The following is a 27,177-nucleotide window of genomic DNA, read 5'->3' as shown; positions in this document are numbered from 1 at the left end:
ATCTGGTAAACCATAAGAATCACTACTTTTTGAGCACTTGCTGTGTTTCAGGTGCTTTGCAAAAGTGTCTTTTCACCGGCATAACAACCCTGGAAGGCAGGCATTCTTAACCCATTTTGTAGTGGGGAAATGGAGGGTCAGATGTGTTAAGTAAAATCTCAAGGCCTGGAGCTCACAGGTAGTGAAACTGAGACTTGAACCCTAGTCAGTTTAATTGTAAGCACTGCCTCTTTCTGCCTCTGCATACTGACCCTCGGTTTGCCTTACTCCAACAGGAGATATTCCTTGATCAGCCCCATCCTTTCAGCATTGCTATTTTTACTTTTTGATACAGATATGAGGTTCAAAGAGGGTAGATGACTCACTCAAGGTCATAGAGGCACTAGATAGCAGAGATGGGATTTGAACGCAGGTTTAGCCTAATTCTGATGTCCTTGCTCCTTCTACCACTGTGCTGCTCAGGATATTTGCTGAGCTGGGGCTCAGCACCTAAGTGTTAAATGAATTAACAGCCCATTCCAGCCCTATTCCTGTCTTCGTATTTCACAGGAAAACAGCCAACAGGTGCTGTTGCTCTAGAGGACTTCAAGACTTGGGACAGTAGCCGGTTTTTTGAGGGCTGAAAGTGATGGACATTTTCCTCTGGGAATGAGAATTCTGTGAGGGACCCACACTGCCGGTGGTCTCAGCCTGCTTTTTCTTAGGACTTGACAGTGGGTCATTGTGGAGTTGCCCGTCATGGGTGCTGGCAAGACAATTACTACATTATTTTCCACTGTTTGGGATTATTTTTAGAAGGCCAGCTAAAGACCAGCGGAAAAGGAGTATGCGAGGTGGTGAAGCCCTGGTGTTACTCACAGCTTGCCACCTTTTCTGTCTTATTTCTGTTTATGGAAATTCAGTCAGGCTAAGGCCTCTGGTGCTTGCATGCAGGACAATGGTTTCAGGGGACTTCAGCCATCAAGAGGGCAAGAACAATTTTGTGTCAGTAACTGCTGATTGACCTAAAAACATATTGGAGGGTTTGTTTGGGCAACATAAAAACATGAAGTCATAAATATTTCTGACAATGATAATTGACACTTATCTTGGGTAACCCCGTTTGCTCCTCTGATCCTCGGTTTTTCTCATCCTTAAATATGGATAATAATATCAAATGACTAGGGCTACTTGGGCATCAAATGAAAAAATGTTAAGAACAGTGCATAAAACTGGGGCTAGCAGGGAGTAGAGGCTCAAAGTGGCGCTGTGATCCTTGCACAGGCACATCACCTGCTGCTGTGGGAGAACATGTGATGTGGGCAGCTCACCAAGCAAATGAGAGGCAAAACAGGTGCTGGCTGTCTTAATTCCAGAGGCTCTAACGCAGTCTCCTGCTGACTGAATCCTCTTCTCTGAGCCCGTTCATTCACTGTCTCTGCCAGCTGTTTCCAAGTGTGAACCCAGTGGAGACCTTTTCAAACTGTAGCCATGAAGCAGGTTGCATGAGGCAGTTCCATCTCCTGGCAACTGTCTCCATAGACACAGCCTGGTTTCGGTCCGCATCCCTTACCTAGGTAAGTACAACCCTTTCCTAACTGCTTTCCCCATTTCATTTTGGTCATACACTACTGCTGGAGCAACATTGGTAAAAATATTTACTTTAAAACCCTTAACCATCACTCAAGACCTCATCCACTCCAGGCTCACACTGGGGAGCAGGGTTTTCATTTCTCTCCACCTATCCTTACCTCACAGTACTGGCTGAGGGATGTGGTCTTTCCAAAGGATCTTGGAAGGTAAACAGTCCATTCGCCCCTCTGGATGCTTGAGGTTCCCTTTTGGAATCAAACGGAGCCATCCGAAGATCAGTGAACTGTGCAGAATCAAGCTGCGTTGTGTCTTCATGGCCTCTGTCCCTCATTGGGACACCATTGTGAATATTGTTGACTATATCACACAGTGCCTCCTGTGTGAAGCCCATGGAAGAAATTCTTTTAGAATTATCCTGGGGAAATAATTATGGATTGGCTCTCCTTTGTGCTTTGGCTGCCAGGAAACTGGAAGTCACACTTGAAACTGTACCATCGCAGCAAGTGAGACTTTATGGTCTGGGCTTTTGGGCTCTGTGTTCTTTCCCCACGTTAATCAATGATTCTTATGTATATTTTCTCTCATTCTCACTCTTTATGCTAATGAACCCAGTCATAGGATATAATTGAAATAAGAAATAAAGTGTCCGGTATTATAGAAGTTAATTTGTGAAGTAATAACACTTATTGAGTAATTGCTATGTGTGAGGCATTGTTCTAAGTCCCTTACATGCATTTTTCCATTTAATTTTCACACAAACCTTAAGTGGTAGGTGATATTATTGTCCCATTTTTACAGATGAGGAAACTGAGGCATGAAACAATAAGTGATTTGCCCAGTGTTATGCAGCAAGTAATTGCCAAGGTCAGACTTTGATGATGGGATAGTTTGACTCCAGAACCTAACACCTGAACCATTAGGCATTAAGCTTCCCAAGAAACAAGAGAAATGGGCATAGCCTAATTAAACCTTAGGTATCTTGTCTTTGCTTATAAGAGAAATGAGATGTGGTGTAGGTAAGAGGTTGCTAAGGTTGATGTACACATAGGAGCAACTAGAAAAGTGACTAGATCTGAGTGAGGCATCAGGCTCTGGAAGACCCCACTATGTTTCAGTGTGTTCTGGAATGGGGACATCTGTGAGCAGAGCCAGGGATTATTTCAGGTCAGGTAACTTTATCATATATATCCTACCTGCCTCTATAACTTAAGTTTCAGTCAGGCCAATTATTTTCAGTTCCACAGCCCTGCCAGCCAGCACACCCTCTTGCCCTGGGTGTGAATACGCTGCTCCTCTTTCACGTCCAGGCTTAGCCTTGTAACCCAGTCCATTTTTCAGGAAACAGCTCAGAAATCCCAGGGGTGCTTTCTTGGGTTAGATGTCCTGTCACAGTCCCCAAAGTTGCAAGTTGCTGTGTTTTTCTTTTCAACAGCGCTGAATGTACTATTAAAAAGGCCTGTTTATTGCTCTGTTTTCTCTTGTAGAATCTGAGATTCTTGAGGCCATGCAGCATGTTTTATTCTGCATTGCATGTTGGAGTCATTATGTTTGTTTGTGTGCATAGACTCTGCATGAAGATTTGTGAGGCAGAAAATCGTATCTGCTCTGTACTTCTATTTGCATGAATATTCAAATTATCATACAGTGTTATTTTACCGTGTGTGGTCTCACTCAGGCCTCATTGTGAAATAAAATAGTGTATAAACAAGCAAGCAAGCAAATAAACAAATACATGCAACTCAAATTTGCATAGTGCTTTATAGTTGAAATCATTTAATATCAATTATCTCATTGGTTATAACACTCTCATTTTGCATGTGAGGAAAGAGACTGCTCAGGATTGCTCAGCTTATAAGATAATTCAGGGCAGGCTCAAATCCAGAACAGGGGCTTTGGATAACACAGGTCCTGGGCATAAAGCCTGACCTGACCACTTGAGGGCCTCTTTGAAGTTTAATTTTCTCATTTCTAAAATGGGAATAATAATAGAACCTAGGGTAGCAGTGCAGATCCAGAGAGTTATGCTAAGCACAAAAGCTGCATAAATGATTGGTGAATACATTAACATACAATTTAACTCTGTAGAAAACTTCGCAACAAATGCCAGGTTGTAAGAAAGCACTGCAATTCCTTGTGTGTTCCTGACCACTCTCATTCTTCCTCCCAACTTTCTGCTCATTCACTTCCCTCTAGATCTTGCAGTTACTAAAGAGCCTTAGTTTTTGCCACGTGTACATTATTTCATAATTCTTGGCCTTGTTTTCGATTCCCACTCTCCCTGAGCTTGGTCTCCAAGACTTGTTCTTTTGCTGAGTTGGAAAACTTCCTTCTCCTCTTGCACAACTTCTCTGATTCCACAGCTGTGACACTCCACCTGGCAGGGAGCTCTGCTGTGGACACGGAGCTCACTTGGGGGCCTCAGTCAGGAACACAGAGGCCTCACTGCCTTGACGCAGCAGAGAACACCTTCCTCTGATTCTAGGAAATGCATGAGAAGACCTGCATTGTTTCAAAGCCAACATTTTTCAGGCATTGGACAATTTGATGGTGGAGTTCATTTCCCGCTTCCATCTGGCCTGGTTCAATTTGATCTGTCAAGTATCCTTGGGGCCAGACAGATTGCCAGATTGGGTAATTTTCTCAGAAAAGAGCTATAAAGATGAGGGTTTCAGATGTGCTTTCAGCATGAATCACAAGCTGCAGGCACCAAGGCCAATATGGAGCATATGTCCATCAATGAGGATGGGGGCAAAGCAAAGTGGGAAATACATGTGACATCCTTGGGGCTGCCACAGTTTAAAGAAGAGGTCTGCACCTGTGAATTTTTAGTACTTTTAAAAGGTATTTCCATAACCCTTTAGATTGAATTCACCTTGTTGTTCATTCAACAAAGAATTATTGAGCCTTGAAACAGATAGATATGGCCCTGACAGTCTAGTTGGAAACATTGGCCTGTAAAGTGACAAGTAAAATATAGTGTGATGAGGGCTGTAGTGAGGGAAGCCCAGAGAGTTATGAGATGCTGTGTGAAAGGCCCTCCATCCAGACTTGGTGGGGGTCGTGAAGATGGAGGTGACAGGTGGCAGGGAAGACTTGTCAGAGAAGTTTATCACTTAGCTAAGATCTAAAGAATGAAAGGAAATTAGCTAGTTGAAGAATAATCCAGGAAGAGTAATTCAGGGACAAGAAATAATATGTGTAAAACCCTGGAGGTGAGGGAGCATAACATGTTTGAGAAACAAACACAGTTTCTGAGTGGGACTGGGGTGTAGGCAAAGATGAGGTGAAGACAAGAGAGAGATGTGGGCACTCACTCCCAACTTTTTCCCTCTTTTCCCTTTACTAAAATATTTGCCTGAGCAAAATATGCTCAGGAATATACGTGTTAAAAGAGAAATTCCTTACACTCATAGATTTAGAAATTCTTAAAGTTCGAATGGGACTTTAAAAGCTACCCATTCAGAAAGGAGGCTATCTTAAAGGTGAAACATCCATAAATAAAGAGGCAGCTCAGAACGTTCCTGGGTATGGCAGGATTTTGCAGGATTTGGATCCCAGGATTTGGGCTTATTACTAAGCCATTGTATGAGGCCCTAGCAGAGCCAGAGCATGAACTGCTAGGAGGGGTTTGCACGTAATAAACCATACCTGCTGTTCTTATATTAACAATCAGGGTTAGCTGAACTGCAAGTTCAAAAGATTTACCAACAGGCTATCTGGCTACATAATTTCAATAACCCCAACTACTCAAGCCATTTGGGACTCCATCAAAGGGTACCTACCAAGTGTAACATGGTTCCTAACTTCCTGGGACCTTTAATAGCTATCTTATTCCTACTAATCTTTGGTCCTTGTTTGTTTAGCTTCCTTGTAGTTTGTGTCTTCTAGGTCGCAACAGTTCCATGTCAAAATGATGGTCATGCAAGGATTCCAATTAACTGCTGCCTTGGATTCAGACTCTTTTGATGACCCCTGCTGGGAACACATAAACCAGGCAGACAGAGATTTCCATGCCCTCACTAGGCAGGGCCATCACCCCTAATCAGCAGGAAGTAGATACAGAAGACTAACATTCTCCCTCATTGACCCTTAAGAATAAAGGGATGGAAATCTCTGCAGTGGGGAAAATGAGACAGGAATAATACAGGGTGGTCGCAGGAGAATAGAAAATTCCAGGCAGCAGTTTCACATGACTAGCAAAAGGAAACTGTTAAAATAGCTGCAGAAGCTACAGGCTGATAAGACTGTGAAAAACCAGGGTGTGGACCAAGCTGGCTAAGACCGACTGGACAAAACATGGCACTGGAATTGATCTAGTTTTCACCTAGGACCTCATTATATGCTCATTAACACATTAAATCACACACCCACCTAGCACCATATCAGTACGGGAACACCTATAATTGGTATAAAAATGGATATCATCACAGTTCTGAGATATCCTCACCTTTTTTTCCAGGATTCTTCCTGGCTAAAGAAACCCATAAAAGTGGAAAACTCAAACTCCACAGTGCAAATATCTCTTGAGTCTGCCTGCACTACCCTTTCTTGAATGTGTATTGATAAGACTGCAGTTGACATTTTAAGAAATTTAAATTTCAACCTGAAGTCAATAAGGACACCTCAGAAGTTTTCAAAGGAAGGATGGAGTCTGTTGAAAAGAACCGGTTGGTAAAATGAGAAAAAATGGATTGAAGGAGGTGAGTCCAGGGGCAGAGATACTATTTGAAGTGCAATTTCAATAGTCCAAGGTAGAGGAAATGACCGTATGAACCAGAGCATTGACAATGGGGATGGACAGGGAGGAAAATTCCGAAGAGACTGCTAAAGTGAGATCTATAATAACCTCCACCAGACTGACCTGTTGCTTTTTCATGAATTAGGGCAGTGGTCTTATCCCTGGCTAAACATTAGAATTTCCAGGAGGAGAAGCAGGCCTAGACTGTACCTCGGACCAACTGAATCAAAATCATTAAGGGCAGGGTCCTGATTCTCAGGTGATTCTCTTTGTTTAGCTCTGGTTGAGAACAGATCATCCTAGGGAGAGTTTCCCAGGCCTTTGCTCTCTGGGCTGGGAGAGATTTGGCATTTACTTACATCAGGAAAGCTAGAAATGGAAAAGTGAAAAGTGTACTGTTGCATGGATGAAAGCGTGCAGTATTTAATGTATATCTAGACAGAGCTATCTAGACTTAGAACTGTTATGTAATGTATCACCCAGGCAGAGAAACTATTAACTGCATGGAACACTGGACTATGGGTGAAAACTGAGATTGCCATGGGTGAACCAAAATAAATGGCAACCTTATATTTTGTCACCAATTCTACTGCTCCCATTCTTTCTAGAGCCTTCCCCAATGAGGTTTTCACCCCATTGTTCATAAGAACTTTTATCTTCCAGGTCACCAATTTTTACATGGTTGAACATAATGGTCAATTGTCTGCTCACTTTTTATTTGGTCCAATAGTTGATTTCATTGATTCTTTCTTCACTTAGCTATATACCACACTCCTCTGGTTTTCCTCTCAGCTTACTGGCTAGTTTTCCTTTGTGCTGGCTCCTTATAACTCCCTGACCTTTTAATATCAAAGTGTACCTGGGTTCAGTCCCAGGCCCCATCTTCTTTGTCTCTCTCCACCCTTTTGACAATGTCATCCAGTTTCATTGATTGGAATGTTATTGTTATGCTGACAAGTTCCAAATTTATGTTTCTAGCCCTGGACCTCTTCTGTGAATTCTAGACTCTTCTTCCAAATGCCAATTTGACACCTCATCTGGGTGATAAAAGAACCTGACTTCAGCTTTCCGGCAACTGAACTCCAGCATCCCCCTGCCCCTGCACAAGATCTGTTTTTCTCACAGTCCTCCTCATTTTAATAAACACTAACCCCTTTCATCTAGCTGCTCAGACCAGAAAACTTATTGCCTTTCCCATGTCCTCTCTTTTTCCTAATCCCCACATTTAATCTGTCAGCAAGTGCCTTCATAATACACCCAGCATTTGCCCACCTCTTATCCCACAACTGCCTTCATTCTGTGCTAAGCCGCCATTGTTTAGTGCCTAAATGATTTCATCAATAGGTCTCTGTGCTTCTGTTCTGCTTCCCCTGCTGACTCTTCTCAACTCCACAACCAAATTAATGCTTTTAAAATACATGCCGGTTGATCTCACTTTGCTGTTCAAAATCTCCAATGGCCTCCCATCCCATACAGAGAAGAGGTCAATCTTTACAATGACCTTCAATGCTCTGTACTCTCACCTCCCATCTCTGGCCTCATCTGCTCCCACCATCTCCTTCACTTACACTGCTCTACCTACACTTGCATCAGACTTGATTCTAAAATACACCACTCTGGGTGACTTAGACACTTTGGGCTGCGATCAATAAATTTCTCAGGAGTTCTGGAGGCTGGAAGTCCGGGATCAAGGTGGCAGTTTGATCAGTTTCTGGTAGGTGCCTTCTTCCGGGGTGTGGACAGCCAACTTCTTATATACTCCTATGGAGTAAGAGAGCTCTCTGGGGGTCACTTTTATAAGGACACTAATCCCATTTTTGAAGGCTCCCCCCATGATCTAATCACCATCCAAAGGCCCCACCTCCTGATACCATCACATTGGGGGTTAGGGTTTCAACATATGAATTTGGGGAGGACACATTCAGGCCATTGACTGTAGCAGATGATCATTTTTCTAACTTGGACCCTTAATATTACTGCCACCTCTCGGCCTTCGATGTTTCTTCTGCTTTAATGCCTTACACCAGGTATCCCTCTAGTCACTCTTTTATTTCCTTTGAGTCTTTACTGCAAAGGCAACTTCCGTAAGAGGTCTTGGAGGAACACTCCTTAAGGTATCACCTTCCTTCTCCCCCAGCACAAAATGTATACTCTATCTCCTTTTATGCTATTTCCCTATAGTATTTTTCATAACTTGATGCACTTCATATTATACTAACTTATTTATTATTTGTCTTTCACCCATTTAAATATAAGTAAACATAGGAGCAAAGATTTATTTTCTGCATCCCTAGTGCTTAGAAGAGTGTCTAAAATATGACAGGTGCTCAATAACTATTTTATGAATAAGTAAATTGAATTAGAGGAGTTGGAGTGAAGGCTGAAGTCTGGTTTTCAAGAGGATGGCATCATGATGCTTTTGTAGGGGCCCACTGTGGGAAGCTAAGGGCAACAGAAGTGGATCTCCTGTGTGGATGGATCAGGGGTCATTCAATTCAGCAAACATTTATTGAGGGCTTATTCTACATTAGGAGAGTTTCAGAGCTGCTTCTGACCTGGAGAAGCTCACATGCTACCGAAAGACAGGAATATAAACCATGATGTTAAGCAGAATCATGTGTGCACAAAAAGGAAGGATAAACATGGGGAGTAGAAGCAGAAAGGGAGGAGAGATTTGTTCAGAGGAGGAAGGGAGACTTACCAGGGAAACTTCCAAAGAGAAGGTGTCATGGCATTGCTTTTGTATCAGATGAAGAGAACTTCAATAGAGGGAGGGTGGAGTACAGTGCACAGCATGGAAATAGAAACGAATAGGATGTGTTTGGTCAGTGGGGAAGAGATCATCATGAGTGCCTCATGAAGTAAATGGGCAGAGTTAGTGAGATACAGACAGGTAGGTGAAAGCCAGACCATTTGGGTGAGGGGAGCAGTGCCGTGTTGGAGAATTTGGCTGTTATTCAGTAGAGAGCTGATTACATTTTGGAGACCTTAAGTGATGTGATGTAACTGACTTCGTAACATAATAACTCAGTCTGAAGCAATGGAAGAGACCAGAAATTTCAAAATCAGTTAGGAGGCCATTTTTCAGATGAAAGGTTATGAACTTAAGGTGAGTAATGGACATCTACTTGCCCATTGTCTTCATTCTTCACCTACCTAAATCCTTACCACCTTTTAGATTGAACACTTCTTCTCGGAGGCCTTCCTGAGTTCCCCAAGATCCCTTTTTGTGCCTTTAATCTGTTAATTTGTTCATTCATTTAGTCTACAAATATTGAGTAAACATCTCTTTGCTACAACTGTGACAAGTGTAGTAATGCAATAATAACAAAATAGATATGGATTATACTAAGGGCTAGAAAGGAAAAGAATAAAGGGGGATATAAGGAAATAAATAACAGGAAAACTTAATTTAAGGTCAGGAAACTCCTCTCTAAGGAAGCCACATTTAGATTCTTTGACTGAAAAGCAGATGCTGACCAAGTGAAGATAGGAGAGGAAAACCAAACCAGGCAGAAGAGATACATGTGCCAAGGCACCACAATGGTGGGAAGAGTCTGTTTCCCTTTCTAGAATATAAGTACTATATCTTTAGCACTCAGTAGAGTAGCTGGGGCATAATAAGTGCTTAGAAAATATTAGTTTAGTGAATGATTCTAGCCATGAGTCAAGTCTAAATGTGATTGGCTATTTAGCAGACACCTTGGAGCCTGTCTCTCCAAATACAATATGATTTCATTCCACTGTGGCTTGTATTTAATTCAATTATTGATATGGGCAATAACAGTGATCACCCCTATTCTTGGATACAACCTGGAAATAAACAGAAGAAACCTGGTGTGTGTGTGTGTGTGTGTGTGTGTGTGTGTGTGTGTGTAACCGAATTGTAGAGTTACTTGGTTGATTATAACACTAGCTCTCATAAATGATTTTTATTGCAAAATTTTTTTTGGTGAGGAATCAGCTTAGGAGGGTTTCAGAGCTGAAAACAGCTCTGGAAATCAGGTTTCCTAACCCTTTGTTATAAATTGAGACCTAAAAACGCTTACTGTCTTGTTTGTGGTTGGACATATGGTTATGCAAAAATAGTAAGGCAGGGATATTGGAGGTAAGAGGAAGTTTTCAAAGCCTGAACAATAGTTCCTCAATGCTCAAAAGGCTGAGAAAGAATTCTAATGGGTAGTGGGGCGGGAAGTGGGTGGGGAGCAGGATTGTTGGTAAATGATAAAAAAAAAAAAAAAAGTTCTGAATTTGCTCCTAAAAAGAAGGAACTAAAAAGGGACTGTTTTTTTTTTTTTCCAGATATGGCCTTTAAGACTGTGAAATAACAGAAAACCCCAATGAATCTAGTTTACTTCAGAGAGCTGTAAAGATTTTACAGAGCAATTTTCATTAGTCTTTGCTTTTTCTCCAGACCCAAGTGACCACCTGGTAATTACTTCAACAGCAGAGCGACTCATACAGCCGGCAGTCCACTTTGTTCTTCTATAGATCCTGCCTGTGGTGTTGGATCTAACAGCTTCTTCCCTGACCCAAGATTATGAAGGATTTCTCCTGTGTTCTCTTCTAAAAATTTTACATTTAGGTACATAATCCATTTTGAGCTAATTCTTTTAAATAGTGCAAAGTATGGATTGAAGTTCTTTTTTTTTTTTTTTTTTGCAGATACATATTTAATTTTTCCAGCACCATTTGTTGAAAAGACTAATGTTCTTGCCTGAATAGCCTTTGCATTGTTGTTGAAAATCATGTTCACACATGTACACATTCCACTGATCTATTTGCCTCTTTGTGAAAATACTACTATTTTGATTAATATATATTTATAGGGAGTCTTAAAATCATATCTTAAAAAGATAGTGGAAGTTATTTAACCTTACTCTTGCTTTTAGAAATTGTTTTGGATATTCTAGATCTTTTGTGTTTCCATATAAATTTTATAATCAGTTTGGCAATTTATTTAAAATATTCTTCTGGGATTTTGATGGACATTACACTGAATCGATGGATCGCTTTGGGGACAACTGACATCTTAACAATATTGAGTCATCTAACATATGATCATGGAAATTGCTCCATTTATTTAGATCTTCTTTCACATCTTGAAGCAGTGTTTTGCGTTTTCAGTGTATAGGTATTTAATAGATTTAAAAATATGATCCCTAAATATTCAATGTTTTTGATGCTATTGGAATTTTAAAAAATTAATTTCTGTTCTGAGGAAGGAAAATAATAAAAGATTAAACAAGAAAAATAAAAATAATCAAAATAAAAGATAAATCATTGACAAATATAATAAAAAATAAAATAATAACAAAAAATATAAAAAATTAATTTCTTATTTTTTTGCTAGCATATGGATATGTAATTGATCTTTGGATTATTGATTTTGTATCCTGCAGGCTGGTTAAACTCATTTACTTCTAATACCTTTTTTTGGGAAGAATCAATTGGATTTTCTACATAGATGATCATGTCATCTGTGAATAAAGTCAGTTTATTTTTTTATTTTTATTTTTTTTCTTTCAGCACTTTTTTTCTTTCTTTTTTCTTTTTATTATACTTTAAGGGGGAATTGAACAATGAGTACACGTGTACACAGGAAGGGGAACATCACACACCGGGGCCTGTTGTGGGGTGAGGGGAGGGGGGAAGGATAGCATTAGGAGATATACCTAATGTTAAATGACGAGTTAATGGGTGCAGCACACCAACATGGCACATGTATACATATGTAACAAACCTGCACGTTGTGCACATGTACCATAAAGTCAGTTTAACATCTTCCTTCCCAATCTTGATGTCTTTTATTTCTTTTTGTTGTCTGAAAACTCTCTTAAGAAGTACACCAGGGCAATCATGGGATTCAGCTTTTTTGTTTCTCATGTCTTAATGATTACTCTCTGCTTTTGCCTGATGTTCACTGCTTTGAAGACCATTATTTCACATACATAGTCTGGTTTTTGATTATATATGGCAGGAGGGTAAATCCAGTGTCTTTTACTCCATCTTGACCAGAAGCAGAAGTTTTCCCAATCTGCATTTAAGATAAAGGCAAAAGATGAGATTTTAAAAATATTCTTCAGATCTTTTGGCAAATTCATATCCACTGCCTGCAGAGCTTCTTGAGTCCATGTGTTTAATTTCTCATGGGAGCAGACCAAGCATGGAGAGATGCTCTTCCTAGGGGAGCCACAGGGGCCAAAAGATCTGAATTATTTTCTAGGTCATAGTGATAGTAACAAAGCAGTTCCTTTCATATGTGTAGTCTTTCATGGTGTATAGAATGCTTTTGCATTCATGAGCTCAGCTGAGCTTCACAGCATCATTAGACAATAATGGCTATGAGGGGGTGGGTGAGTATTGACAAAGAATTGGATGCTTGGAGAAATGAAATGAATTTCCTAAGAATATACAGCTAAGGAGAGGAGCTAGGGGAGCTGCTACGCGAGTCCTGGGTTGTCTGACTCCTTATCCAACTCTTTTGTTTTTGAAGACAATTCTTTTTTTTTTTTTTTTTAAACCACATTTTGTTTATTCACCAGTTGCTGGACATGCAAAAAACACTCTTTTAGCTATTTTGAAATTTCCACTTTATGCATATTATAAACACTACTGCCATGAACATTCACATATAGGTTTTTGTGTGGACATCTGTTTTCAGTTCTCTTGGGTATATGCCTGAGTAGAATTGTTGGGTCGTATGGTAACTCTGTTTAAATTTTTGAGGAACTGCCAAACTTCCAAAGTGACTCCACCATTTTACAATCCTAGGAGCAATGTGTGATGGTTCCAATTTCTTTACATCTTCACCACTTGTACTGTGTCTGTGAGTCAGTCTAGTAGGTATGAACTATCTTTTCGTGTGTTCATTAGCCATGTTGGAGAACCGTGTTCAGATTCTGACCATCTTTTTTCTTTTTATTATTGAATTTTAAGAGTTCTTTATAATTCTGGATATAGGTCCCTTATCAGATACAAATGCTTGTCAATTTAGGATGGGTTACGTCCTGGTAAACCCATTGTAAAGTTAAAAAAATCTCAAGTTGAGACCAGGTGCGGTGGCTCAGGTGTGTAATCCCAGCACCTTGGGAGGCCAAGGCAGGCAGACCACGAGGTCAAGAGATCGAGACCATCCTGGCCAACATGGTAAAACCCCGTTTCCACCAAAAATACAAAAATTAGCTGGGCGTGGTGGCGTGCACCTGTAGTCCCAGTTATTCGGGAGGCTGAGGCAGGAGAAGCACTTGAACCCAGGAGGCAGAGGTTGCAGTGAGCTGAGATTGAGCCACTGCATTGCGTTCCAGCCTGGCAACAGAGCGAGACTCCGTCTCAAAAAAAAACAAAAAAAGGAAAAAGGAATCTCAAGTTAAACCATCATAAGTTGGAGGCCATTTGTATATGATTTGCAAATATTTTCTCCCATTCGGAGGCTGACTTTTCACTTTCTTGATGGTGTCCTTTGAACAGAGCATACACGTCTCTAATTTTGATGAAGTCCAGTTTATCTGTATATTTTTCTTATTGTTGCTTGTGCTTTTGGTGTCATATCTAAGAAACCACTGCATAATTCAGGGTTATGAAGATTTACTCCTGTATCTTCTTCTAAAGGTTTTACAGTTTTATCTCCACCCTTCGGTTTTCAAGTATTCTCTTTAGAAATGCCCAAAGACCTTTCTGCCAAACAGAAAAGTCAAGAATCCATGGTGTCCCTCACTTGCAAATGAAGTAATATGAACAACTTCCCACCCAAGAGTCCCTGTATTTACTACTTTTTATCTACTTTTTGATCATGTGCTCAGAAAGGACCTTAGTTCTTAGTGTGGAACAAACAGAATTCATTAAATGTAGTAGTCTAGGAATATTTGCAGAGCTTGTGCTATGTGCTGGGCAACAAACTAGGCGCTGGGGATACAAGTGAGACCACTCAAGTCTGCAAAGAGCTCACAGGCAGTTGGTAATGATCAGAAACAAGAAACTACAGGGGCACCAGAACTGTGATTAAAAAAAAAGTGGCCCCTCATGGTACCATTCCTTCTGAAACTATTCCAATCAATAGAAAAAGAGGGAATCCTCCCTAACTCATTTTATGAGGCCAGCATCATCCTGATACCAAAGCCTGGCAGAGACACAACCAAAAAAAGAGAATTTTAGACCAATATCCTTGATGAATATTGATGCAAAAATCCTCAATAAAATACTCTAAACTGAATCCAGCAGTACATCAAAAAGCTTATCCACCATGATCAAGTGGGCTTCATCCCTGGGATGCAAGGCTGGTTCAACATATGCAAATCAATAAACATAATCCAGCATATAAACAGAACCAAAGACAAAAACCACATGATTATCTCAATAGATGCAGAAAAGGCCTTTGACAAAATTCAACAACCTTTCACAACCCTTCATGCTAAAAACTCTCAATAAATTAGGTATTGATGGGACGTATCTCAAAATAGTAAGAACTATTTATGACAAACCCACAGCCAGTATAATACTGAATGGACAAAAACTGGAAGCATTCCCTTTGAAAACTGGCACAAGACAGGGATGCCCTCTCTCACCACTCCCATTCAACATAGTGTTGGAAGTTCTGGCCAGGGCAATCAGGCGGGAGAGGGAAATAAAGGGTATTCAATTAGGAAAAGAGGAAGTCAAATTGTCCCTGTTTGCAGATGACATGATTGTGTATCTAGAAAACCCCATCGTCTCAGCCCAAAATCTCCTTAAGCTGATAGGCAACTTCAGTAAAGTCTCAGGATACAAAATCAATGTGCAAAAATCACAAGCATTCTTATACACCAATAACAGACAAACAGCCAAATCATGAGTAAACTCCCATTCACAATTGCTTCAAAGAGAATAAAATACCTAGGAATCCAACTTACAAGGGATGTGAAGGACCTCTTCAAGGAGAACTACAAACCACTGCTCAATGAAATAAAAGAGGATACAAACAAATGGAAGAACATTCCATTCTCATGGGTAGGAAGAATCAATATCATGAAAATGGCCATACTGCCCAAGGTAATTTATAGATTCAATGCCATCCCCATCAAGCTACCACTGACTTTCTTCACAGAATTGGCAAAAACTACTTTAAAGTTCATATGGAACCAAAAAAGAGCCCGCATTGCCAAGTCAATCCTAAGCCAAAAGAAAAAAGCTGGAGGCATCATGCTACCTGACTTCAAACTATATTACAAGGCTACAGGAATCAAAACAGCATGGTACTGGTACCAAAACAAAGATATAGACCAATGGAACAGAACAGAGCCCCCAGAAATAATGCCGCATATCTACAACCATCTGATCTTTGACAAACCTGACAAAAAGAAGCAATGGGGAAAGGATTCCCTGTTTAATAAATGGTGCTGGGAAAACTGGCTAGCCATATGTAGAAAGCTGAAACTGGATCCCTTCCTTACACCTTATACAAAAATTAATTCAAGATGGATTAAAGACTTAAATGTTAGACATAAAACCATAAAAACCCTAGAAGAAAACCTAGGCAATACCATTCAGGACATAGGCATGGGCAAGGACTTCATGTCTCAAACACCAAAAGCAATGGCAACAAAAGCCAAAATTGACAAATGGGATCTAATTAAACTAAAGAGCTTCTGCACAGCAAAAGAAACTACCATCAGAGTGAACAGGCAACCTACAGAATGGGAGAAAATTTTTGCAATCTACTTATCTGACAAAGGGCTAATATCTAGAATCTACAATGAACTCCAACAAATTTACAAGAAAAGAACAAACAACCCCATCAACAAGTGGGCGAAGGATATGAACAGACACTTCTCAAAAGAAGACATTTATGCAGCCAAAAGACACATGAAAAAATGCTCATAATCACTGGCCATCAGAGAAATGCAAATCAAAACCACCATGAGATACCATCTCACACCAGTTAGAATGGCAATCATTCAAAAGTCAGGAAAAAACAGGTGCTGGAGAGGATGTGGAGAAATAGGAACACTTTTACACTGTTGGTGGGACTGTAAACTAGTTCAACCATTGTGGAAGTCAGTGTGGCGATTCCTTAGGGATCTAGAACTAGAAATACCATTTGACTCAGCAATCCCATTACTGGGTATATATCCAAAGGATTATAAATCATGCTTCTCTAAAGACACCTGCACACGTATGTTTCTTGTGGCATTATTCACAATAGCAAAGACTTGGAACCAACCCAAATGTCCAACAATGATAGACTGGATTAAGAAAATGTGGCACATATACACCATGGAATACTATGCAGCCATAAAAAATGATGAGTTCATGTCCTTTGTAGGGACATGGATGAAGCTGGAAGCCATCATTCTCAGCAAACTATCGCAAGGACAAAAAACCAAACACCGCATGTTCTCACTCATAGGTGGGAATTGAACAATGAGAACACCTGGACACAGGAAGGGGAACATCACACACTGGGGCTTGTTGTGGGGTGGGGAGACGGGGGAGGGATAGCATTTGGAGATATACCTAATGTTAAATGATGAGTTACTGGGTGCAGCACACCAACATGGCACATGTATACATATGTAACTAACCTGCACGTTGCGCACATGTACCCTAAAACTTGAAGTACAATAAAAAAAAAGTGGCCCGTCATAATGCAGTGGGGGTTGGGGTGGAGGGCATTCTCCAAAGTGAGTCCTAAAGGAAAAAGCACATGCAAAGGCCTGAAGCTGACAAGTACATGGTATGTATTGAGAACTGCAAAGAGCTTATTATGACAGGGTGATCAGGAGCAAGAAGAGTTCAAGAGAAACAGACATTCTAGAGAGAAGTTAGCCAGAAAGGTAAAGCAGCTACCATGACCATTGTGTTGTGCTAGATGTTGTGGATACACAGTGAACACCTGGCCTTTTGGTGCTGGCACCAGTTAGCACAATTTCATTTCATGCAACTATAAGACCAAATGGTTAACCTTGGCCTTTGAATATTTTTAATTGACAAATAATAATTGTAGGCTGGGCGTGGTGGCTCACACCTGTAATCTCAGCACTTTGGGAGGCCAAGGCAGGCAAATCATGAGGTGAGGAGTTTGAGACTAGCCTGGCCAACATGGTGAAACCCCGTCTCCACTAAAAATACAAAAAATTAGCTGGGCATAGTGACGGGTGCCTGTAATCCCAGCTACTCAGGAGGCTGAGGCAGGAGAATCGCTTGAACCCAGGAGGTGGAGGTTGCAGTGAGCTGAGATCATACCACTGTACTCCAGCCCAGGCAACAGAGCGAGACTCCGTCTCAAAAAAAAAAAAAAAGACAAATAATAATTGCATATATTTATGGGACACTATGTGATGTTTCATTACGTGTATACACTGTGGTATAATCCAATCAGGCTAATTAATAGATCCATGACCTCAAATATTTATCATTTCTTTGTGGTGAGAACAATTAAAAAACCCTTTCTCTTGGCTGGGCACTGTGGCTCACACCTGTAATCGTAGCACTTTGGGAGGATGAGTTGGGAGGATTGCTTGAAGCCAGGAATTCAAGACCAGCCTGGGCAACATAGTAAGATCCTGCCTCTACAAAAAATAAAAAAAATATTGTGAAGACAATTTTTTAGAGAAGTTTTAGGTTCATAGCAAAATTGAGAGGAGAGTGCAAAGATTTCCCATATAGTCCCTGAACCAACACATGCATAGCCTCCCCCATTATCAACATCTGTCATTATAGTGGTACATTTGTTACAATTAATTTATATGAGGAAAGCTATAAAATCCACATTTCATTAGATTTATACCTAAGTATTTCATTTTTAGGAGTGCTAATGAAAGTGGTATTGTGTTTTTAATTTCAAATTCCACTTGTTCATTGCTGGTCTATAGGAAAGCAATTGGCTTTTGCATATCAACCTTGTATCCTGCAAACTTGTTATAATTTTTTATTAGTTCCGGTTTATTTTGCCAGTTCTTTCAGGTTTTTTATATAGACAATTATGTTATCTGCCAACAAAACCAGTTTTATTTCTTCCATCCAATCTGCCTTTTATTTCCTTTTCTTGTCTTATTGCATTAGCTAGGGCTCTCATTATGATGTTAAAAGGAGTGGTGAGAGGGGACATTCTTGCCTCATTTCTGATCTTAGTGGAAAAATTTCTACATTCTCACTATTAAGTATGATATTAGCTATAGTTTATTTTAATAGATATTATTTATCAAGTTGAGGAGGTTCTTCTCTATTCCTAGCTTACTGAGAGTTTTTGTCATGAATGGGTATTGGGTTTTATCAAATGCTTTTCTGCATCTATTGATTTGGTCAAGTAATTTTTCTATTGGGCCTGTTGATGTGATGATTACATTAATTTTTTTTTTTTTTGAGACACGGTCTCACTTTGTCACCCAATATGGAGTGCAGTGGCTCAATCATAAATCACTGCAGCCTTGACCTCCTCTGCTCAAGTGACCCTCCTGCCTCCGTCCCCTGAGTAGCTAGGACTACAGGCACATACCACCACACCTAGCTAATTAAAAAGATTTTTTGTAGATACTGGGTCTCACTTTGTTGTGCAGGTTGATTTGGGCTCAGGTAATCCTCCTCCCTCAGCTTCCCAATGTGTTGGGATTACAGGCATGAGTCACCATGCCTGGCCAATATTAATTGAATTTTGAATGTTGAATCAGGCTTGCATTCCTGGGGAAGAAAAATCTCACGTGGTTACAGTGTATAACTCTTTTTATACATTGTTGTATTCCATTTGCTAATATTTTGTTGAGGACTTATACATCTATATTCATGAAAGATATTGGTCTGTAGTTTTCTCATAATAGGTTGTTTTCCTGTAGTGTTTCCCAGTCTGGATTTCACTGATTATACCTCTGTGGTACAGTTAAAATGTTCTTCTGTCTTCTGTAGTTCCTAAAAATTAGTTTGGTATTTCACTCTTTTTTGAAAAATAAAAACTTATTATGGAGAATTTCAAACATACCAAAGCAGCTAAAATTGTATAATGAATTCCCACATATTCATCATGTGGCTTTAATAGTTACCAGCTCCTGGGCACTCTTTCTCTATCTATACCCCCATCTACTTACTGCCACTTCATACTAATAAATCTCAGCTGTAATATAATTACACAGGTAAATATTTCAATACGTACACTAAAAGATAAGGGGTATGTAAAAATATATACTCATAATACCATTTTATGTCTAACATTAGCAATGATTCTTTAATATCATCAAGGATGCAGGACATCTAAAAATTTATAGTGGTCTCAGAATGTCATAATTTTTTAAATAGTTCATTTGAATCAGGATCCAGTAAGTTCCCCACATCGTAATTTTAATGTATATGTTTCTTCTCCAACTTGTTTTCTTCCTTTTGTAATTTATTTGTTGGAAAAAAAAACAAAACAGGTTGTTTGCCTGTAGTGTTTGCCATTCTGGGTTTTGCTGATTGTACCTCTGTGGTACAGTTTAACATGTTCTTCTGTTTTCTGTAGTTCCTGAAAATTACTAGTTGTAACTAGAGGTTTGATCAGATTCAGGTTTAATTTTTTTATTTTAACAAGACAACTTTATAGGTGGCACTGTGTTCCTCCTCAGTAGGTACATAATCTCTACTTGTTTTTCGTGATGTTAGCAGCCATTGATGCTTAAAGCCTTAATTCATTGTGGGCTGCAAAATGGTAATATTCTAATTCTATCACTTGTCTGGAATTTTTTTCCTTTATATTCTCATATATTCTACAAAGTGACTTTAAACATATTAGCTTATCTGCTTGTAAATAACCCTTAAGGTAGGACAGATGTGTATTAGGCTGCTACAAAATGGCCCTCCAGAGAATCATGTTTCTCTGTGACCATGTTCCTTTTTGCAGTTTGATTTTGCCTTCCTCCCATCAAACGGTTGGGGTGGATTCTCTTTTCCTTGTCCTTGATTCTGGGCTGGCTGTGTAACTTGTTTTGACCAATAGAATATGGAAGAATTGATACTGTGTGAGGCTATGGTACAAGAGACTATATATTTTCTGGTTTCCCCCTCTTGGAACATCACTGTCATGTAAAAAGGCCCAGTCTCACTCCTTGAGTATAGAAGACACTATACAAATATAGATGCTCAGAATCTTAGCTGTGTCCCTTGAGCCTAGATCTCAAATGACCCACCAGTTAAGTGCTGCTCCATGAATGGGCCCAGGCAAAATCACCAGAACCGCCCAACCAACACAGAACTGTAAGACATAAACTCCTGATATTTCAAGTTACTAAGATTTGGGGTGATTTGGTGTGCAGTAAAGGCTAATGAAATGGAAGGATGTTATCTACATTTTACGGATGAGAAAAATAAGGCCCAGATAGGGGATACATCCAACCTACAGGGCTGTAGGACAAGATAAGAGTTTAGGAATTTTAACTCCTAATTCAGTGTTCTTGCCATTTATATTTTCCTTTCTCTTTCCCAAATTTACTGGCCATCTTAATCTAAACTCTGTTATCTCACAGCAACCTCTGAGGCTTCCCAGCACATCAAGAAACCCTATGAACTGAGCTGCATTTAATAACTAGCTATTAGCTGGGGCTCTAAAAACTTTGTTAAGGAAAATAGAAACTGAACATCTTTAGTAAAGTTTCAACCTGGGCTCTACTTTTAACTCCTATCATCATTCAATCTTTGGAAACAAAAACTTGAAAATTACCAAATTGGGGGTGAATATGAGGAAAGGCTTGCAATGTGCATAGTGTTAAGGGCTTAAAAAAATACCCAAGCATAACAACAACTCTCTGTGTAAATCAAGTAAGTGTTGACTGATTCTATCAATTTGTAAGTCCAAACAACTTCCAGATGGTTCAAATAATAATAAAAGTATCTTATATTTGATTAGTGCCTTTCAGTTTACAACGCGGTTTCACATCTGTGTCTTCATTCCAACCTCACAATGGAGCCTGTCAGGAAGGTAGGCTAGGGGTCATCACTTCCGTTTTTCTAGATGAGGAAACTGAGTCCTATAAGAAAAAGTGACTTGCACAAAGCCAGTGACTAAGCAACTAGAAGAGGCAAGATTAAACCAAATCTTCTGATTTCACGGTCAACAATTTTTCCACTACCTTGCCTTTATTCTTGCCTATAAAGTCTCCTGAGAAAATCCTCTATCCATTTCCATTTTAATAACATGAAAGACATAAGCAAAAATCATAAGAACACAAAATGGAGGAGCTCACAGCCTGGCAGAGCAATAGATATGGAGACACATCCTTAGGACAACAACAACAACAATAATAATAGTAATAGTTAACATTAATTGAATGCTGTATGTCTAATCCTGTTCTGAAAGTCTTACATATCTGATTGAATTATCAAGACAATTGTATAAGGCCTGCACTGCTAGTATCCTCATTTTATAGATGAGACAACTGAAGCATAAACGTATTTTAAGTAAGGAACTTCTTACACACAACTTGTATGTGATAGAGCTGAGATAGTAAGTTTGATAGTAAAATCTTGTAGAAGGTGAACAGGAACACAAAGAAGAGGATTCCTAGTTTCTCAGGAAAAGTCTGGAAAGGCTTCATTGAAGATAGTTTACATGGATTAGGACATGAAGGATCTTGGGTTTGTCAGGAGCCATGGGCAGTGTGATGGGCAGGTGGCATGTTAGAGAATGGCACGGTCGTGGAATCAGGAACAGTTCAATATGCTGAAACTTACTAGCAAAGTGTTACTACACAGAGAGATACATAAACAGACAACCACAAGGACAATTGCAACTCATGTGCTTGTACAATAATGGGTGGTTTTGGTATTTATTAATCTTTTTCACCTCAGCACAGCAGAACTCTCAGACCAGGAAAGCAAGGCTAATGTGTTTCTCTTGTTCAGTTTCAGCTAGGTTCATTAGCTTGCTTCTGTATCTTTCGGCCAACTTTCATTTGGGATGTTTACTCTACAGTTTCACGCTAGTCCATGCTTGGCAGACCACTTCTCAGTATCAGTGCTAATTATCATTATTATCAAGAATTTTAATTAGTATAATTACCACCAACATACATTTTGATTAATGCTAATTAACAGTAATTTCTAAGTTTCATTATTATAACTGAGATTTAATAATTTAATTAATATACCAATTAATAACATATTTATATGGGACTTAATTTGCAAAGTGGTTTCAGATATAAAATCCCACTTGATCCACCCCGAAACTCCAGATAGTTGGCAGGGTGTGGGTTATTAACCCCATTTTATAGACGAGGAGGCTTAGGTAAGAGAAATACCAAAACCCATTCAGTTTCCTGCCTCCCGGTCTAGTTCTATTTCTTCCTCAATCTCTCCATCTACAATTACTTTGAGTTTCACCCCAAGGTGAAGACTTTCCGCCACCATGGCATGTCTCATTCATTGTCCTACCTACAGGAAGATAGCAAGAGATTTAAAAGGAGTGCAGGCTACAGATCCAACTTGGGTATCAATTCTGCTGTGCTGTATGTGAGCTGGGCGACTTTGAGAAAAATCACTTAATCTCTCTGAGTCACAGTTGTCCTTTCTGTAAAAAGATGATCGTGTTGTCTACCATATGTAGAGGTAATATATTTAAAGCAGTAGTCAATAAATGGCAGCCATTATTATTGTCTCTTTTGGGTCCTAACTGCTGGTGCCCATGAGGAGCATCTCTCCTATAACTAACTGCCTTCAATTTAATGCTCACAAATGCAATAGGCGAGCCTTCGTGATATTAAGTGAGAGAACAGACCATCTTCTGGGCTAACAGCCACTTTGGAGCCTGACTCCCAATTTTCTCAAATACCTACCCGCTTTGGCCAATTTTTTTTGTATCTCACAGACTGTAGTTCTCTCTCTCAGGCATTCGTGGTCTGGGAAAAATAGCTAAGACCATGAAGATCTTTATAACTGAGTGGGCTTTGGTGTGTAATTGGCCCTACAAAAGGAAACAAAACCACCATGTATTGATATCTACGTGGATGATTCAAGCATTTTGCATATCTTATTTAATTCTCAAAAAAACATGTAAAGAAAAAAATTATTGTTTGTCCCATTTTCATATGGAGAAACAGGCTGAGAGTAAGCGATTTCCCCCCTAACACAAAAAGTCCCATGAGTGACATCACTAAAGTTTGAATACAGGTTTTTCTGGCTCAAAAAGCTGGTGCTCTTTTTACATACCACCTGATAAAACTTTCTCTCTAACCATCTTTCTGCAGGTCCTGGGCTTTCTCTGCTAGAAGAGGCTGAATTCCTGGAGTACCTAGAGTACAGAGCTGGTGAATGACCTCTTATCTCCCTGCTCTAGCCTGTCCTATGTAACTTGGTCCCAGCCACCTCTCCTGTGGACTTTTCCTTCTTCTGAGCTTTTCCAGATGCTGGGCTGAGCACAGATTCTGGTTTGATGGCATCTAGTCTGCAGGAAAACATAGTTTGGCTTTGACCAGCACCTGATAGACTCTTCTGCTCTTTTGGACTAGTCTTCTAGACACTAATGGCAGTGGAATTTGACCTTCTGGTCTTCCTTTTATGTTTGCTAAAATAAATGAAGCCAGTAATCCCAACAGATAACCCAGTATTCCCACCACATGGCTCAGGACTGCCCCCATTCGAGGTCTGTGATCCTGAGCATCTTTCACCAACAAATATACCACTACTAATCATTAAGGTGACGGTTTACTGAAATCCTGCTGAATACTAAGCCAGGTGCTGGTTGTTTCACATAACTTATCTCCAATCCTTTCATCATTCTGCAAGATAGTAATTAGTATTGCAATTTAACATTTAAATGGAGGCCCAGAGAAGTTAAGTAACTTCTCAAGGTAACACAGCACAACACATCATTAGCTTCCTTTCATACCTTTTCTTTATTTCTTCCTGATTCTTTTCTCCAAATGTATCTCTAAGGAGCTCTCCTTAGCCCTGTCCTCCTCTCTCTTGATGATTTCCCCTGTATTATACTTTCTTCTGGCTTCTGCTCTTATATCTATGTGGATGACTTCTAAAATGGCAGTTCCAACAGTGGCCCATCTACGTTGTCCAAGAAAGGCCTTTAGAAGTCCCATTAATGTCTTAACATATCTTAACCTATCACTTGTCTTTACCCTTAAACCTGCTCTTTCTCTGTCTTTGAGAACATGTCCACTCTCTGGCACTCAAGTTCACAGTCTTGGTATTCTTATGGGCAGATTCTCCTTTTCACTCACCTACTCTGACACTCAGTCACTAAGTCTGGCCCTTCTCCTCCATTCTCTTGATGGTGAGTCCTATTCAGTATCTCATTATCTCCCACCTGGCTGATTGCAATAGCTTTCTTCAAATCTCTCTGCTGTTATTCTCCTTGTCCTCCTCCTTCTTAGACCCTGTGGCAAGATTTTGTCTTGGAAACACCTCCTTGCCTCAGGAGCCGCTGGTAGACCAGCAGCCTCCATGATCCAGCCCAAGCTACTTTCCCAACCTAGTTCCCCATGATTCCCCTGCATGTCCCATTTGTACCAGCAAACCAAGCAACTCACTTTCCCAGAGTATGTACTCAATTCTATTCCCTGAGTGCGCGCACACACACACACACACACACACACACACACACACACACACAGAGTGCAGTTTTGCTTATGATGTCATGGAATGTTCACAAAGGAGGTGACATAGGAGCCAAATCCTTGGGAAAGGAGCAGTTAGGCAGCTGTCTAAGAAGGGGCAGGGTATTAAAAGCAGAGAAAAGCACTTGCCAAGACAATGGTGAAGTAAAAAGAGCACGGCTCATTCAGGAAACTACCAGGATTTCAGAATGTCCATGTGGCAGAGCAAAGTTTGGGAGTCAAATAGACCTGGGTTTGGGTCTTAACTCTGTCACCTTTGTGGTCAGCTCTGTGATCCTGAACAGGTTTCTTAACTTTCTGAATCTCAGTATAATAAAGGTAAAAATATCTCATAGGAAGTTTCTGAGAACTTGTGAAAAACTTTTATGTAGGAGGTATGTAGAGGGTCCTCCCTAAAATTTGGCTATGATGTTAGTATCATGGTTATGATGATAGAGGAGGATGGATCCTGGTGGTAAGATGGGTGAAAGTGGCAATGTCATATTAGAAGGATATGCAGAAGCTAAATTACAGAGAGTACCAGTAAGTAACTGGGACTCTATTGTCTAGCAGATAGCAGCCACAGAGATTTTATAAGCATGGCTGACATGGTTATATCAGTGTTTTAAGATAATCATCCTGAAAACAGTATGGAGGTGAAGGACTGTTAAGAGGCTGTTTAAACTCTCCTGGAGGCCTGGGCTAAGGCTATGACATATTGATGGAGACGAAGACACAGGCTGGAGACATTCCAAGGAAGTCCATCACCCGGTCTACTGCCTGATTGCATGTGTGGTTTAGAAAGACGATGCCACAGTTCCTAGTTTGGGCAAATTTGTAGCTGATGGGCTATAAACAAAATGTTGGCTGACAGAGACTTTTCATGACCCTTGCAGTTATTTCCTAAGGATGGAGATTATTCCACAGAACCTTAATTTCTTTAAAAAGTGCTATCTGAGACATGGCAGTAGGGTAGAACTTGGCCAAATGAAAGAAAAACTTTATTTTCTTTGTTAATCAGTACTTCACAGCATGAGAAAGTTCAGCATAAACCAATTATAATTCAGTATCACTGAACTGGGTGAAATGAAAAAATAAGCAGAGACCAGGTGGTGTCAGCACAAAATGAATTCAGAAGAACAATGTTTATGTCTGTTTTAAAAAACCAAGAAGAGCCCAATACTGGAATCCAGGATAAATTAACTCTGTTCCTGTTTCCTCAGTTAAATTCTGTCAATCTGAGTTCTAAAAAAATAGCCTAAAGTATTTGTCTGTCTGCCTTATTGGCTCTTCCAAACATATTATTTCAAAGGACAGATTTTATTTAAATATAGAAAGTCTCAAAATCATGGCACGCTAGAATTATATGAGAGAAAATAATAATAGCTCACCTTTGTTTTGCATGGAGTTTTTCTTAAAGCACTTTTACTTGTCTTAATCTCATTATCAGAAAAGTAGACAAGGCAGAAGGTATTTTTCTCACTTTGCACACAGTAAAACTGATGCACACACTTTGGGAGGCTGAGGTAGGTGGATCACCTAAGGTCAGGAGTTTGAGACCAGCCTGGACAACATGGCGAAACCCCCTTTCTACTAAAAATACAAAAATTAGCTGGGTATGGTGGCATGTTCGGGAGACTGAGACAGGAGAATTGCTTGAACCCGGGAGGTGGAGGTTGCAGTGTACCGAGATTGCACCACTGCACTCCAGCCTGGGCGACAGAGCGAGACTCCATCTCAAAAACAAAACAAAACAAAACAAAAAACCAAAAACACCAATGCACAGAGAGATTAGGGGTCTTGTCCAAGGCCACACAGCTTACCAGTGTCAGAGGTAGATCCCAGGACTTCCAGGTTATAGCCACTGTTACTTTGCTTCTCATGGAGGCTGAGGCCTAAGGCGGCAGTCACAGGAAGTAGAGAATAGTTAAGTATGGGAATTAAGCACAAGGCTTTGGAATCAGTGTCCAGGATTTACATCTGCATCTACCACTTACTTACTGTGGGACCTTGAGCAAATTAATTGGGTTTTATGAGTCTCAGTTTCCGTATCTATGAACTGGAGATGAGCACTACCTCTCGTGCTTGTTGAGAAAATCAAATGAGGCAGTGATAGAACTAACACGCTTTCTCAGTTCAGGGTCTGGGGCATTTGTAATCTCCCACAAATGGTGACTACTGTTATTAATTAAGTGGATACCCTCTGGAGTGGCTTTTGACTCACAAAGAATTTTGGAGACTGACCCTCAATATGCACGGATGGGGTGAGCCCCCCAGTAGCTTGTGTTCCTACTCATAGCTGATGCAGTGATGGGTAAACACGTG

General features: G+C 40.1%; 1 long non-coding RNA gene across 1 annotated transcript in view; it reads left to right on the top strand.

Moving 5' to 3' along the window:
• Nucleotides 1–26,433, top strand: part of LOC124904186 (uncharacterized) — a 98,825-nt gene extending 72,392 nt beyond the window's left edge. Inside the window, exons 2-4 of the long non-coding RNA XR_007066107.1 lie at nucleotides 6,032–6,272; nucleotides 10,725–10,895; nucleotides 23,491–26,433. This is a non-coding gene — a long non-coding RNA (uncharacterized LOC124904186). The remainder of the gene's footprint in view (nucleotides 1–6,031; nucleotides 6,273–10,724; nucleotides 10,896–23,490) is intronic.
• The last annotated feature ends 744 nt before the right edge of the window (nucleotides 26,434–27,177 follow it).

The sequence above is a fragment of the Homo sapiens genome, chromosome 1 (genome assembly GCF_000001405.40).
Source record: "Homo sapiens chromosome 1, GRCh38.p14 Primary Assembly".
Classification (NCBI taxonomy): domain Eukaryota; kingdom Metazoa; phylum Chordata; class Mammalia; order Primates; family Hominidae; genus Homo; species Homo sapiens.
This window is presented reverse-complemented; position numbering and strand designations above follow the sequence as displayed.